The 17,560-nt window shown below is 35.2% G+C and overlaps 1 protein-coding gene and 1 long non-coding RNA gene across 3 annotated transcripts in view, besides 1 other annotated feature; one reads left to right on the forward strand and one right to left on the reverse strand.

Annotated features, from left to right (window-relative positions):
• Positions 3,003–17,560, forward strand: part of VRK2 (VRK serine/threonine kinase 2) — a 252,329-nt gene continuing 237,771 nt past the window's right edge. For both annotated transcript variants that reach the window (NM_001288837.2, NM_001288838.2), the window contains exon 1: positions 3,003–3,250. The gene's annotated coding sequence lies outside the window, so the exon portion shown is untranslated. The remainder of the gene's footprint in view (positions 3,251–17,560) is intronic.
• Positions 4,179–4,478: an enhancer, noted in NCBI's record as "active region_15791". NCBI's record gives its function as "activates an Ori minimal core promoter by ATAC-STARR-seq in GM12878 lymphoblastoid cells {active_cell/tissue: GM12878}" and the evidence as "EXISTENCE:reporter gene assay evidence [ECO:0000049][PMID:35858748]".
• LOC124907770 (uncharacterized) lies at positions 9,452–11,733 on the reverse strand. Its single transcript, XR_007086325.1, has 2 exons — positions 11,692–11,733; positions 9,452–10,132 (listed from the first exon to the last, which is right to left on the reverse strand). It is a non-coding gene; the product is annotated as an uncharacterized LOC124907770 (long non-coding RNA).

The following is a 17,560-nucleotide window of genomic DNA, read 5'->3' on the forward strand; positions in this document are numbered from 1 at the left end:
GTAAATTACACATGAGATAAGTGTTTGTCTTGATTTGCTTGGGGGTATTGTGTATGTGTGTTTGTTTTTCTTTGTTTCAGTTTGTTTCTCTGGTTTGTTGTTTTTCTTATTATGTCATGCCAAACAGTAAATTTGATAGATTAATTTTTTTTATCATGGTAGTGACCTAATTAGACAGGTTGTTTTATTTGCAGTTGTTTAGCACACAGTCACATAGACACAGCCTAAATCAAGACTTTACATATTAAAAAAGTTAGAAATTTTAAAGAAACACTACACAAAACTGGGTAGAAATTGGAGAGTTCATAAATAATCTACTCTGACTTCTGATTCCAAATCCACTTCCAAATTTTTGTTAGAGTTTTATGACATATTCTGTTAAAAAAAAAAAAAGACAAAAAGGTGTAAGAAACACTCATTACGTGGCTTAAAAATGAACATTGAAATCACTCTGCTGATTCTGTTTTCCACAGGCAGTCACAACAATACCTCCATCTCACATACCCTTCTTAAATGTGACTTGGACACTATTCCCATGAAGAAATGGTCTGTGTTTCCTACCTTAAAAATGGGCTGGCTTTGTGACTATTTTGACTAACAGTGTATGGCAGAAATGATGTTATTGACTTTTTGTGTCTAGGTCATTAATGACCAAGAAGCTTCTGCTTTGTTGGCTAAAATACTTGTTCCTGAAAGCTTGCAAGAAGTCTGACTGCATTGAGGCCACCATGCTGTAAGGCAGACTAAACCCACCCAAAAGAAGAAGCTGCATGGAGAGGCCATGAGGCTACACAAAGAGTGAGAGATGATGGCAGCCTCCAGCTGCTTCGACCTCCCATCCTCCAGCTCTAGCACTAGCTGTAGCAAACAACTGGCCACAACACTAGGAAAGACCACCCAGCTCAGACCATTCCCAAATTCCAACCCACAGGAATCCATGAGAAGTCATAAAACAACGGTTATGTTTATAACCCCAAAGATTTGGGAGATCATTTATAGATCATTCATTTATTAAGCAAATGTTTACTGAATGTCCAGTCTGTGCTGGGCAATATCCTAAGTACAAAATCCTGCAAGGATTTTTTTTTCTCAAAGGAGTTTAATCCCTCTATCCTCTCTGCTTCCATGGCTCTTTAGATTGGTAATATAGCATTTATTTATTTTGTCCATATTGGTAATACAGCATTTATTCTTTGGTCCATATTGGTAATACAGCATATTTTTCCATATTCTATAAGTTGTATACATGTTTGATTATACAATTCTAAATTCAGGATCTGATTCTGAATTAATTTTATTTGCCTCTATAGTGTTCCTAGTGTACGTAAGTGTTGATATATAGCACCTATCTGGATAAAAAAAATTGATGCAGGAAAATTAATACCATTAGCCCCCATGATACAAATTAAACTAATATTCTTGAGACATAATTTATTTAAAATAGCTGAAGTCTTCAACTGAAGGAAAGGAAATACTTTTTAAAAAACATTTGAATATGTGATTATTCCTTACAGCAGTCAAAAGAGAAAGAAATAAGTACTTCTCAAAGATTCTAGTAATTAGTAAACAAGCCACGAGGTACTTAAAATTACCTTAAACCAGTTTTATTTTGTCAAATAGTCTGTTACTACAGCTATAGATAATTTTGTTCTAAGTGTAGCTTAAAACTAAAATGTGCCCTGGATAAGATAAAAAGTAGTGTCTGGGCGTCCTCATTACAATCTTCCTTCCTACCACTAGTCTATGCTGTTGCACTAAGTACTGAATGCTTGTTCAGTGTCCATAGGAATGTGGGGAAGATCACTTTTGTCTAAGATTTGTTACTCAGATGGGAAAAAGTCAAATGCCTTATTTTTTCCCCAAAATAGAAGCAGGCAATTTATAAACAATTCTGTTCACGAAAAAATGTATTCTGAATTCATAAATTTAAGTTATATGTTTTAACTATGTCAATTAGAAAAGGAAAATATTATGGGGGTGGGGCCTCCCTTTCTAATTTTGAAAAGAAGGAATCTAATCGTCATAGTTAAGCACTCTTACTTACAATGTTGAGTTTTTGTTAATTTCTCCTGGTCCTCTGCCTCACTTTGATCTGCATTTAATGAGTTACAAATCCTGTGAATTTTACCTCAGCGCTGTTTTTTCCACCTAGCCCATTTTCTCCCCTTTGTATTAACACAGTTTAAAACCTCAATGTCTATAAACTGCACAGTGCAGGCAAACATGTATTGAGGTCTTATCTGTGTGATGTCTTATGCTAAGGGCTTCACATATGTACACTGTTTAAATCTTACACAAATATGATGAAATAAATTCTAAAAGTTTTCCTGTTTTACAGATGAGAAAAGCCATGGAGGACTTTTTTTATTATTATTTTTATTTTTTTGAGACAGAGTCTTGCTGTGTCACCCAGGCTGGAGTGCAGTGGCGCGATCTCGGCTCACTGCAACCTCCACCTCCCAGGTTCAAGCGATTATCCTGCCTCAGCCTCCCAAGTAGCTGGGACTACAGGTGCCCACCACCACGTGCGGCTAATTTTTTTTTGTATTTTTAGTAGAGACGGGATTTCACTATGTTGACCAGGCTGGTCTTGAACTCCTGACCTCGTGATCCTCCCGCCTCTGCCTCCCAAAGTGCTGGGATTATAGGCGTGAGCCACTGCACCCAGCTGAGGACTTTTAGAACTAAGTAATTCACCCAAGGTGATAGTCAGTAGTGGTGGAACCAGCATGCAAATTAGACAATGTGACTTCATAGCCTAGTATTCTACTCTACTTCTGTAACTTATGGCTGGAAGGGACTTTAAAATTCCATCTACTCCATGTTTAATGCTTCATTCTCCCTTAACATTTGCAAAGTTGTCACTAGCCTATGTTGGAACATCTCCAATGACTGTCACAATAGTCTTCTATCTCTCAACTCCAACTCACCCTATGCTCTGCCAGATTCATTGTTTTCAAAAAGCTTTTTGTCATAATCTCCCTCAGCTCAAATAAACAACTAGCATTTCCAAACAGAGCAACTACAACCACTTCAAACATCCTAAACTCCCTCCAACCCTGGCTATTCACACGCTTCAGTTCACAACTTCCATCCAGAATCCTACTTCTCTGATTGTCCTCATGGGGAAAGTATGCTATTTCCTTCATCCTACAAGATGCTTCTCACTGACTCTATCCATATTCTTCTCATCCTTCAAGAGCCAAGTCAAATCTCTCTGCTTCCAATAAGCCTTCCTTGCTACACTCAGGTAAATGTAATCTCTCCATCTCCTGGCGAATGTCTCGATTTCTTTTTCTGTGCTATGCCTGGTGTGACAGGGAGTCAGGGCCAAAGATGATCTAACAAAGTCAGAACATGATAATCCAAGTACAGAAGATCATTTCATCAATACAGGCTCTAAGAAACAGTCTAGCAGTGGGTGACTGCTAGACTGTTTATGAGAATATGAGAATGAAGGCCAAAAGGATTCACAAGAGGGGATCAAGAGATTTTCAAGGAACTTCTGGAAGGCAAATCTAAGGAAGAATCCAAAATCAGAAACCAAAAAGCATAGTCAGGAGTTAAAGAACTTAGAGGAGCAGAGCACAAAGTTGTACATCGTATGTGGTTTTATCTTGGGTTGATTCTTCTAGTTTTCATTAGGATGACCACACATCACGTATGATTTAAAGATGTTGCTTTGCCTCTTACAATTTGCACAGCTTTTGCCACCCATTATTTTCTATGATATATTATAATTATACATCTGACAAAATTCTGAAATTGGCAGCTGTGACTACTTATGCTCTGGACTTATCTATAAATCTTTTAAGGATAGTCACAATTTTGTCTGTGTCTCTCTAAGAATCTTGCAGTGTTTTAACATAAAACATGATGAAGAAGTATTTGATGAGTGTATGCATGCATATATAGATGGATGAAAACATTAAAAAAAAAACTTGAGCTCCATCATTTCTGAATGTATAACCAATCCTCCAAAATGTCTGAAGTTAAATGACTGGCTCTTAATAAACCTTTTTGAGGCATCCACACTACCATATTTTACTAATTACTAAGTGTTTTCTAAACTGTGTGTGACAGGTTTTTAGTTAATTGAACCAAATATTTGACCAGATTTGAAGAATAGTTTTTCAAAGTAGTTTTTAATGAGGCCATATCTTGAAGTTTGTTACCTGTTAAATTAAAATGAAGACCAGGCCTGAAGAATCCCTGAGCAGCTAAAACGAGTAGACCTCATTAGTGACCTAAGGGTTGCTGGGTTTGCAAACAGAAGTGAAACTTAACTTGGGGTGATTTCTTGTAAATGCCTATATTAGAAAGAAAACAAAACTTAAGCTCAACCAATCAAAAGTAGCCAAAACCTTAGAAAATTATTAATATAATTAGGGACGTTCCAATAGGATATACCAAATAAGGCAACTGTATAACTATAACCAATCAAATATTGTGCTTGCTTTATTTCTGTGTCTGTTCTGTAAAAGCCTCCCCTTTGCATTCCCTCAGTGGAGCTCATGAACTGCTTTTGGTTTGGAGCTTCCTGATTCTCAAGTGAGTGCTCAAATAAGCTCTCTAACATTTTATTATGCCTCAGTTTACCTTCTAACATAACTGAACTCATTTGACTTTGTATAAAGTAAAAATATCATAAACCTTAAAACTATCACCAGTCCAATATTTTAGGAAGCATTTTATTAGTTACAAATATAAACCACCCACCTATTATTATAAACTGAAATACCAAGAGTAAACTGAAGATCATCAGGGTCATAGCATCACTATGGAGATTAAGTACTGCACTCTTTCACTATCATAAGTGATGATTTACACTTGTAAAGAAAAAGATCCAGGAGAAATATTCAGCCTGAGTGTATGTGTGTGTGTGTGTTTTTTTTTTAGTTCTCAAAAGGAGAAAACATATAAACTGATATAGTACTGGATAAAACCACAGACTACTAGGTAGCTCAGGATGCAAAAACAAACAAAGATTAAAATTCCAAACTGAAATATTTGAGAAATAATTATCCTTTGGTAAAACTCGCTGTCAAGAAGAAATTCATTTTTAATCATGAAATATATTTTTCCTATGCTATTTTTGCTTTGCTTTAATTTGCTATTTAGCAATGCCTGAAATATTAATAATTTGTTTAATAAATTCCTTCTAACTCTTAATAGATTTTTAATGAAGAAATCTGTCTTAGAGATCTGTCAAGAATTGATATTGCATACTTTCTGAAAGCGTTAAATTATTGACCTGCTGAACAGTTTCATTTGAACCTCTATCCTTTTCTTGCCATTTTCTATGTTCAGATATTCTTAGAAGCTTTGTGAAATGTAAAAATTATTGATCCTATAAGCCATAATAACAGGTATTTTAGGAATAAGAAGAAAAATGTTTCATCCACATAGTCAATTTATAAAAAATAAAATCTTTTATTCCAGATTAAAATGGTAAATCACTTGTAATTAGCCTGATAGGTAAAATAAACCCATACTACTTAAAACCATGAATGAAGATAGAGGAAAAAAAAAAAAAACATTCCCATGGGGGCCCCATCGTTGATCTATTTTCTACAAAACACGTAGCTAGCTATTCCTACATGGCTGCCTAAATGCCAGAGCTGTAACAGCTCCAGATAAATCCCTTTCTCCATGCAGATTTTCAACACTGGGAAGGTCAGCTCTGGAGTTCAACAAAGTCAAGGTGCATTCTATCAGAATGGCTGAGATGCTGACTCCCCTATTGTACTCTTCCCTGGATTATGACAATAAAACACAACGCTCAGCTTTGAAAATAAGTAAACTTGTGAAGACAGGAAATGTGTGACACTTTCATACCCCAGTCTCTTCATGACCCCAAGAGAAATTCATACAGGGTTTATCTCTGTAGATTCTGAAGACAAAATGGATCATGACAAGCCTGTAATATTTGCCATCAATCAGATCTGGATTTAATCCCCGGCTTCTCTATTTACTAAATATTTGACTTTTTTATCATTTGTTTATCTGAATGTGTTTCTTTATAATGTTGCCAACCTTATAGGACTGAGGGAAAGATTAAAGGAGATAAAGTATACATTTTCAAATGTTTGTTACCCAACCCAACACATAATTACTGCTTAATAAAAACTGGTGGCTATGGTAGTGGTGATGGTTGATCCCTGCCCCCAACATAAGTTCCAAAGCCAATACTACAGAAAAGGATAAAATACTGTGAATTAATCCCTTAGAAAAGCTCTCACTAGATGTCATCCTCTTACACCTAAAGGACTAACCAATGTTGAGATTAAAACTCAGAGATTTGGTTTTAAGTCTGCTATGGCCCAGGAACACAGAGTTTGCAGACTAGGCCCAAATGCCCAGTTAGAACCAGTGAGCAATAAACAGTATTGGGGAATGATTTTAAGATTGGGTCAGACAGACTTGAGTTCTCTAGGGTTTTTTGGGTCTTTTTTTTTTTTTTAAACATTTCTCAACGGAGCAATCATGGGAAATCTGCTTGAATTTTCTACATCTCAGTTTCCTCATCGGCAAAATATGAAAATCATTACATCTCATTACTCTCACCAGTTACTTCATGGTAATATTAGCAACATAGTTTGGATTAAGATCCTCAGAGATATTCTAGATTATAAACATTATGCTTTTTGTGACTCTGTGTTTCAGAGTTTCCCAAGCTATATGTCCCTAGAGACTTGTTCTGAGAGATGCTCTGACAAAAGAAAATAAGAGTTAAGTTCCATGGTTAAATACATTTGGGAAACACTACACCCTTTTTGGAGAGTCACAGTTAACATTGGCATATTGAAAGCCTTGAGAAATCCCACAATATAGATAACACAGACAGTGCTGATGCGTTCTGATGGTCGCAGAAACCAGCTCTGACCAACCCACACCCATTGTAAGGAGTTGCTTGGCCCCACAAAAGGAATCTACTTTGTAACTATTAAGTGGACTTCCACCTTTGTTTTTCTCTCTTAAGGTTGCCCTGATTCATTCAAAGAGGTAAGTACTGGAAAGAGGGAAAATGACATATAAAAGAACTAGATAAACTTGAAGGCATTAGCATAATTCATGTGCATCAATGGAGCCTGGATAGTTTACAGTGATAATCACATACATTTATGGATATAATTGGGGATTCCGTGAACATTTAATTACCGACAAATGGACTGAAATCTGAAAATCAGACCAAACCAGACTGAAATCTGATTTCCAAGAAAAAAATCAGGAATGTTACTGTTGTACTTTTTAGGACCTAGCAAAACAGCAGGGCTTGTCAATTGATACATTATGTATAAGACTTAATGCTATTCACTGGGAATATAATGAGTTATAAGAGATAACCTGCTCTCCTAGAAGAGTGCTTAGCACATAATAGGCCTTTAGTAAATATTTGCTAAATATAGGAGCACATTAAAACACAAATCTTACTAGACCCCATAAAAGGGCTGGATTTACAATACAAAATGAAAAGAAGACAATGCAGGTATCTTTTATTAATGCCTAGTATTAACTGATATAAATGCACAGCAAATAGTTTCAAATTTTCAGCTAGATTCTAACTTCTCAGTTGTATAAAGAATTATGGATGAAATTAGCAAAAGAGCTAGTTTAGGTTTTGCATGGAAAAATCCTGCAATTTTGGTATAGATCTACAAGTGAACAAGCCATGTGTCTTATCTAATTAATTCAGACATCTGGGTTCATACTTTGAGTGATGACATGGCTGGTGGAGTCCAAGAGTGTCCAAGGGACACATTACTGCATGAAAACACTCAAAGTTTGGGTTGGAGTTCATCAGAGGGATAAGCAAGTCCAGCTTTCAGGAAGAAGTTTTTTTTTTCATACAAAAGACTAAAACTTGAAGATAGAGTGAAGTAATTAACCAAAACAGGGAGGAGCACAAATATAAGGGAGAAGAGCAGCTCATAAGCTCAGAGGCAAAACCCAGCTCAGAAACAGAGAGGAAATCAGAAAAGAGCTGGGAAGGACATATTTGATGACACCAAGAAATTTTGTATAAAGAGTTTCTTATGGTTTAGTTGGATATTTGTAATTTGACTAAAGAGCAACCGCTTTTGTTACAAGACTATTTTCTGGCAGCCAAATAGCTTCTGGTATGCTGGGAAATTCAAAGGAAAGAAAGAATTAACTCATACAAATTGCTTAGAACAGGAAAGGAATGCATTTACCCTTATGGGCTGTTATGGACTAAATATTTGTATCCCGAGATTCATATATTAAAACCCTTACCCCTAATGTGACGGTATTAGAAGGTGGGGACTTTGGGACATGATGGTGAAGCCCTCTTGAATGGAATTAGTGCTCTTATTAAAAAGATCCCAGAAAGATCCCTCACTCTTTCCACCATGTGAGGACACAGCAAGAAGACAAGCTGTCTATGAACCAGGAAGTGGGCCTCCTCAGACACTGAATCTGCTGGAACCTGCATCTGAGATTCTCAGCCAGCAGGACTGTGAAAAACAAATGCTTGTTGTTTAAACCATACGGTCTATGATATTTTTGTTATAGCAGCCTGAACAGACTGAAACATGGACATTCTAAGATCATGAGAGGCCAGAACACACTGGATTTAGAGCATGAGGCCTGGGATTCAATCTTGGCCCTACCAATTTATTTCTAGTTATTTTACATTACGCAAGTCATGGAAACTCATGAGTTTTAAAGACTTACCTAGTTGGTAATAGGTATTTTATAGGGATTACGTAAAGGTTAAATGACTGTCTATAAAAGTGCTTTTTAAATTACTTCCTACATAATAAGTGCTAAAAAAGTAGTTTTCCAAATATTTCCTCATCAAAAGATTATTAGCAATTTTTTTTATTTGATAGGAATGGGCCAATGTATCTAAATCTCCTTTTTCTGTTTTCAGGAGAAATTTATCTGCCAACTAAATTACAGAGGAATAAAGTTGAATAAGGAGGGCAGTTTTGTGGCCTAGCTAGATATCTCCCTGACTTTAAATTTTGCTCTTATATGTGATATTATATTGCACCCAAATATTTCTAAAACTTTAGATGCACTTTTCACTGCAACTTTACTATGATCTTCATTGTTTTGTTCAATATATGTTTATAATAATATTAGGATATTTTCACAAATTATACATACTCTTTGCATGTTTTAATACTGCAGAGACATATGGAATATTAGGATACCAAATTGGATTTTTTTCATGCCAAACTGTAGCATTTAAAAAAATACTGTTTCTATATCATATTTCAGTTTGAAGTACTTTTTAATGGGGCTTAATAATATTTATATGTAAGTATTTAATAAAGCCTTAATTGAATAAGTCATGTTAAAATGTAACCACAATAAGTTATTAGCTTGCCTATATAAATGCCAACAAAAATAATGCCAATTTACTTGTCTAATTCTTAAGTCAAACACAAAATTGCTTAATACATTAAAGAGAAAAAACGTCAACTTTTCAAACAAAAAATTTATTTTATAGAATATTAATGTTTTGAAACTTCAAGAATATCTACTTCTGAAATTAGGATCCTCTGTCCATTAGTCAATTAAATATATGTGCACAATTAAATACATCTGTATTAATTTCTAATAAACATGAGGCTCTGAGGTCAGATAGCCAAGATCCCAATGTTTACTATTTGTGGCACTTAACCTTACTTTTTTTTTTTTTTTACTTAGGTTCCTTATCAGAAAAAATGGAAATTATCTCATAAAATGACTACATGAATTGTATAAAGTGTTTTAGCCTAGGACATAGCACACAGTAAAACCTTAGTTAATATCAGCTCTGTAGGACTAATAATATAACTCTATCCCGATTCATTTTTTTAACCTATACAATTTAAAAATAATTTAAACTACATCAGGGCTTAGGTAAGGCCTGAAATATTACATTATACTTAATTATAGATGACGACCTCTGCTATGAGTCTTTTGTAAAGGTATTTTTCACACCTAGTATCATCCTGGTGCCTCATCTCCTTAGGTAAAACTTCTTCTTCATCCAAATATCCGAAAAGGTGTTAAACAACTCAGGTAAGACTTCTCATTTAAGGTCACTCTAATTACAGCAGCAACAACAGATGTATATACATTCACTAATAAAAGAATAATTTGTGGTTGTGTCCCTCTGAAAGTTAAGCCAGAAAATTTTAGATTTTATTGAGACATAAAAAGAAACATTGCTCTCCAAGTCAAATTCTCTATTATTAAAATATGTCATCCTTTATGAATTTCATAAATAGCAAACCCAGGAACAGAGTAACCATTTTAAAAAGTCTGGAGGGGATTCCATAACAACATTTAAATACATTACTACTCAAACAATTTGATTGGATTATAAAATATTTGAAGCTGCAGCTGTAGTTGTGATGTTTACTGTTGATTATTTTGATTTCAAGATCCTCACACAAAAAATACAAGTTTACAGAACTATTTATATTAAATAAGTGCACTGTAAAATGAAATGTACATAATATATATTTACCTAAAAAGGACAAAATTAGAAATAGCAAAATAAAATCATAGTTCTTTAAAAGTTCTATCTCCGAATAGGAATAGTTACCTCAAAACCAAAAAGACTAAATACATGTTCTAGTTGAAAATGTATTGAAAACTAAGCAAAAGACATTAATGTGAGTTCTGGTTATCATAAAACTTTACAATAGTGAACTACACATGATTCTACATAAATCTAAAAACATTTTGCAAACATGAAAGCATTTATAACCTAACAACTATAAAGTAATAATTCTATTATTTTATTTTTGAAGATCAGGCCCAGAATTATATAATGAGATTTGACTTCAAAGTGGCAAGTTTTATCAGCATGTTCTACCATCACATATTTAAAGAAATCAGGTGAATGGATTAAAAAAATAAAGATACAATAATTATATACATATGTGCTCCCTAGGATGTTAAAATAATATGGGGAAAAATGCAGCTGAAAGATTTCCACTGTACCCAACTCCACTTCCCTACCAAAGCAGAAGATGGAACAATGATGACTAGAAATCTTCATGAACAAGAGGAAATTCCAGTTTCTAACTGAAACCTTACTATAAACAGTTATCTGCGATAAGCTGTATTTGTCATAAAAGGCTCAAGCTGCATTGACAGATCTTACATCAGGGGTCCCCAACCCGCTGGGCTGCAGACCAGTACCGGTTTGTGGCCTGTTAGGAACCAGGAAACACAGCAAGAAGTGAGTGGTGGGCAAGCCAGCATTACAGCCTGAGCTCCGCCTCCAGTCAGCCCAGCAGAGACATTAGATTGTCATAGGACCACAAACCCTGCTTGTGAACTGTGCATGTGTGGGATCTAGGTTGCACGCTCCTTATGAGAATCTAATGCCTGATGAGGTGAAACAGTTTCATCCCAAAACCACCACTCCCCATGCCAGTTTCGTGGAATTGTCTTCCATGAAATTGGTCCCTGGTGCCAAAAGGCTGGGGACTGCTGCACAAGCCTCCCATTAGATGGAGAAATAAATACCTCCACAAATGTTTCAATCTTAAGAATACCCACCAAGGGCGGGCGCGGTGGCTCAAACCTGTAATCCCAGCACTTTGGGAGGTCGAGGCAGGCAGATCACTTGAGGTCAGGAGTTCGAGACCAGCCTGACCAACATGGAGAAAACCCATCTCTACTAAAAATACAAAATTAGCCAAGCATGGTGGCACATACCTGTAATCCCAGCTACTCAGGAAGTTGAGGCAGGAGAATCGCTTGAACCTGGGAGGCTGAGGTTGCGGTGAGCTGAGATCGTGCCATTGCACTCCAGCCTGGCAACAAGAGCAAAACTTCGTCTCAGAGAAAAAAAAAAAAAAAGACTACCCCCTAAAGAACCATAGTCAACTATGGTTCAACTATAAACAACTGCATTTAACTTCAGGTTAGCCTATAAGTTTTGAATATTCACTATATCGACCCACCCTCCTTAAGCCCAATGATAATAATAATAATAATAGCACTACAATTTTTTTCATGTATGATATTGGTTTTCAATTTTTTTAATTTTAAAAAACCTCTTTGTAATCACTAGCCCTATCTGACAAATGAGGAGGAAACTAATGCTTAGCTAATTAAGTATCTTGCCCAAAGTGATGCAGCTCATAAATAAGACAGCTTAGACCATGTGTTTTACTAAGTCAGAGTAGAGAAAAGCCATTTACAGAAGTGTGGAGTGACTGTCTGGCTCTGAAATTGGACAGATGTAATTTCAAATTCCAGTTTCAACTCTTTGGAAAGTCACTTAAGTTCTTCTACCTTCTGTTTTCTCATTTGTAGAATAAGGATCATAGTAGTATCTGCTTCATAAGGCTGTTGTGGGAATCAAATAAACTAGCGTATGTAAAGTACTATTTTAGAAGCCTAAATAAGTGACGAGTACATGAAACAAGTATACACAATGTAAATTTTCAAATGTACAATCTCTAGATTACTAGCTGATGAATCATTAGGTTCTAATTAGGGAAACAGATATTATCCCCTAAAATTTGCTAAAATTTGGTCAGGAAGTCATTTATGCCTTAATGTTGATTAATAATCCATGTATCTAGCTGGCTTGGAGAAAGAATACCAACAACCTGGGAGATAATTTGTTGAAATACAAGAAACAACATGTAGGAAAAGAGAAAGGTAAAGAAATTAGCACTAGACCTACTCACTCTCTCACTTGATCAGCCTTTACTCCCTTACCTCCAGTTCTTCCTTTTCTGCTTTTATAATGGGTGCTTGTGGTATAAATAAAAGGAGGTCAGGCTATAAATTCAGATGACCCAAATTGAAGACGAGTCTTTCATAGAGTGACCTGAGATCTCAATATCTCTGAGTCCTAATATATTCATCTGCAAAATAAAGATGATAATGCCTGCTAATACACCTCATTATGCATGTGAGAGCAGTTTATTGTATATGTGTATTTTATTATCTAAAATTAGTCATACTAGATCTAGATGTAGACTGGTTTCCTGCTTTCAACCAATTTATGACTAAAGTTTTTAGAGTCTTTAAAATATTTAGTTTGGGGTAATGGTATCTAGATATTTTAAAACTTTTCCAGGGTAGCATACTGAACTGCTTATGATATAGAAAATTTTCACTTTTTTTTGACAAATGAAATGTTGATATAGCTTTACTTTAATGGTTAAGAGAGGGGATGGCTTTGAATACTTTGGAGACACATGTGCAACCTGTGTTTTACATGCAATCCCTATAATATAAAGATCTTTCATATGATAAAGTTTTCTTTATAAAGAGAGAGGATTTACAAGTCACACATGAAAAATAATCTTGTTATTTTACAATCACAGTTTGCAGCTGCCCTGTATATTCATTATCTAGAAGGTAAAAGTGGACAAATATAATTTGGTAAGGTTGATCATTTCAGAGGTGAATGTAGACTTTGAGCTTTATTAACTAAAGTTGAAAATTAGACCACCAGATTTCAACTACCCAGCAGTAATTAATTCCAGCATGTGAAGCTTAATTAAGGAAAAACAAAATACATTGCAAATTGTTGAAAAGAAAAGCCACCAACTGATGACACAGGACTATTTAAATATATTAAAGAAATGGTGCAGTATGTTAAGCATGTAATTCCGCCAAAATTCTCCCAGCTTTATTTTGTCTTCCTTTCCATATCCTTGGCTCTCAAAAATTCATTCTCAGTTCTTTGGCAAAAGAGACTGGAAGAGACCAGAAGGAGGAGAGGGGGAGTGGACAGCTCATGCTAATGCCACTTTTCATTTCATTTTTTTTGAAAAATCCTACTTTGTGCATATAAAATATAGTTCATTTCTTATCCTGAGAGTTACCCTGGCATATGGCTCAATTGGAAACATCAAGGTTTTTAGTTCTTTTTAAAATGGCTTGCCTCTTTTCCAGACTTTTCTTCAGATGTATTGTCAATGCCACTTTTAGAGTCTATCACCCTTATATTGGTAAAATCTTCTTCACTTTCTGGCCAGGAAGGTACTGACCATGATGGTAAATGAATAGTGAGTGGGACAAGTCTGGGACTGATTGTGAAAGCACCCATCTAAGCAGTTCCTTTTTCAGATATTATTGAGCTTGTGTTGTTGGAGTTTTTAGTAATATAAAAGACATGTTCTCTAGACCCAGAAAGAAAACTCACTTCTACTTTTTACTCTTCTATTGAGTTAAGTAATCCAAAGGCATCTATTGAACTTTATAATCATGCTCTGAAATCTGTGTGCTCAATTGAAATTCCATGAGCCCAGTCTAATCCTGATCCTTCTTGATAAAATACAATGCTGATTAATGCTGATCTTAAGAACATTTCTATGTATCTGAAGATTTTTAAACTCAATGCTTGTCTGGTCTGGTATTGGCATGACTAAAATATCCAATTTTAAAAGTTGAATGTGGGCTGTAAGAATTAATATCTTGTTCTATTGACCATCTTGGTTAAAGTTTTTGGTTTGCAAAGTATAAAAATACTTGTCCAATTTAATTCATCAAGACTGTTCTGCATTATTCTGCAATAAATCCTGTATAGAGTCCACTGAATGCATGGAATCATTGGATAATGGCAGACTCTGCCCAAAGAGGGGAAAAAAAGATAGCCTAAAAGTAAGTATCAAATAGGGAAGTTTTGAGTATGAAATAAAAGATAAAGGTAAAAGAAAACTGGAGGGAGATAAGTAGTTTGTTCCTTATTTTTCCTAAATGGAAATATATTTTATAATGTTTTATAAGAAATATAAACAATATTTCTCTTAAAAAGTATAAAAAGTGTTATTCTTTGTTTGCAATGCTAAGAAAGTTTTCATGATACTTTATAAAAGTGACTTTCGATTTCTGGCTGGCAATAATTTCTGAGTCCTGAGGCAATTGTCAGTCACTTTTTCAAATTGGAGAATACAGTAATAGTTTTAAGAGTATACCCTTATTTTCAGCTCAATATGTACATTCTAAATCTAAATATCATGTGTAAACAAGTATACATAGAGCTTCATGTGACAAAAATATACAAGTTATAAAAATTCATTCACAATCAGTAACATACAAATGTCTGTATCCAGAAATTTTGAAGGACTGAGCAAGGTTATATTTTTCCTTAGCACATTCTTCATCTATTTTCCATTTTTCTTACCTGGCAGGCAGCTAGGGGCTACAGAGTCAAATAATGAAGTTGTCTTTCATTTGGATATAGTTTATTAATGGGAAAACACTAATCCATTAATCAACCGAAGTCAGTAATTTTTTTTTAAAAAGTATCTTCTTTGGTAACAGAGATCACATACCTCTTAAAAAGGAGCCATTATCTCCATGGGTTTCTCAGCTGAAGTTAAAAGTCTAAAAATGATTTTCATTCATTCCTCATTAATATGCAAAATTATTCAAATTAGATAGTAATTAACCATCTACTCAGTAGAAAACCTTTTCATGATAATTTATGATAAACTCAGTTGCCGCTTTGATTGAGATTGATTTTTGGTGTTGAGAATCTATCATGAATACAAAAAAGCACCTGAAAAAATATTTTTAAACACCTAACTTATTGCTTAGCTAATTACATGGTAGCCATCTTCACAGACTGTTCCAAAGAGAAGCTTATCAAATAAGATCAGTCCAAAAAAAAGCTGTGCAGTGCATACACTCTTCCCATATTTATAGTAAATCTCAGCCCAGAGCACAATGTCTGGATGCCTCTGTTTAGTTGACTCATATCATTTTTGGACTTATTATTCTTTAATTGAACTAACTGTCACACTCCAGATAAGACTGCCTGGCTAATACAGAATTTCAATAAGAGGCAAACTATGGAAATTTTCACATATCCTCACGATCAATTGATTTCACAGGATATTTTACTCAATGGGCTCAGTTATGATTTGTAAACAGACTTCAGTTTTACTTTCTGCAGATGAGAAAGAGACCTCAGTAGTAGGTGATGAAAGGGTGATTATTATGTGCTTGTCAGGCTAGTGGAAGTCATTTTCATTCTCAACAACAAAAGCTGGAGTTGAGTATCGGTGACCATAGGGTACGCAACTGGATCTAAACACTGAAGACTGCTATTCAAAACGTTGCTCCCTGAGAGTAACAAAAACATGGGGACACAGTTAGTGACCTTCTCTTAGCACTTTTTAAAAATACACAAAGGAAAACACCTACTACTTTCAGTACCTATTTGGTTGCAGAGATCAACTATGGGTGAGAATTCCTGTGGCAATAGATGAAAAGGAAAATCTGACTCCGGCTGGGTGTAGGTGGCTGCCTCAATCATCCACTTAAAAGCATTTTATTATGGGATCAGAATAGTACATGTTATATTTTGGCAAGCATTTTACCTTCATTTATATTTGTATGCAAGAAGATTCTAGATGTTATTTCATTTGCTCCTCTGTCAGGTATGATGGACAGATACTGAACTCATTTTCCAGATGAAGAACATGAGGCCTGAGTGGTGTGACTGTTAACGAATTAATCAGCCAGTTAGATGAGCAGGGACTAGGACTTGGTGTTCTTTCTGCTTTTTTCTTGCTAGCTACTTGGTATTTTTCAAAATGTCTCCCAAAGATGGCCTACATCAGAATCATCAAGGGTGCTTATTAGGGATGCCACTTGCGAGGCCCCTTCTCAGTTGTACCGTGTCAACCTCTGGAGAAGGCATCTAAGTAATTCCATTTTAAAAGTACCTGCCCAGGTAATTCTTAAGCGCGCACACACACACACACACACACACACTCACACACACACACATTTTTAATCCACTGCCTATAGCTTTGCCTCACCAAACAGTTGATCTCCCACCCTTGCAAAATGTATACTATATCTTCAGAGAATAGGACAAATGGGGAGTGATAGCCTTGTGTGGATCCTCCTGGGGATTGTCTGACAAGGTGAATTATAGGGTAATTAGTAAAATATCCTGAAAACATTGTTCTGAATTTTCCCAGCAATGTCTGAAAAGGTTAATTATATAATAATGAGCATAAGCTTAAACAAAGAGGAGAAAAATCTGCACTCAAAAAAGTAACACCTTAAAAAAATTTTGAAAGGTGCCTCTACAAAACTGAGTGAAATGATTGCAATTTGAAGCAACTGCTAGTTCCCATAGGGAACAGTAAGTTCCCAGTAAAGATGATATGTGTGCACATTTTTTTTGTTAGGATTCTAAAACAACAGAATTAGCCATAAGCTAGGAGTTGCTATGATTTATGTTTTATAATAGCCCCTCCTTTCCATTTCCTGGTCAGCATTCTGGATGATTATTTCATTTAGCACATATTCTCTAGTTTGTTTCTTTCGCTTCAAGTCTATTTTACATTTTCCTGTACTGAACTGCATTTGCCATCTGCTGATCCAATTACTTATACAATCCAAATCCTTTTGAGTCTGATTGTTTTGTTCCTCGTTATTTGCTCAGCCTCTAGTTTTAGTATCCTCTGTAAACTCTAAAATCTTGTTTTCAATACCTCATCTGAATTTCTTATATACAATACAACCCAATTAGCTCAAACTTTAGGTTTTCCTAAGGCTACTTGTGTTTGAGGGGATTTAGATAAGTTGAGTGGATTTGGAT

This window comes from Homo sapiens, chromosome 2 (assembly GCF_000001405.40).
Source record: "Homo sapiens chromosome 2, GRCh38.p14 Primary Assembly".
NCBI lineage: Eukaryota > Metazoa > Chordata > Mammalia > Primates > Hominidae > Homo > Homo sapiens.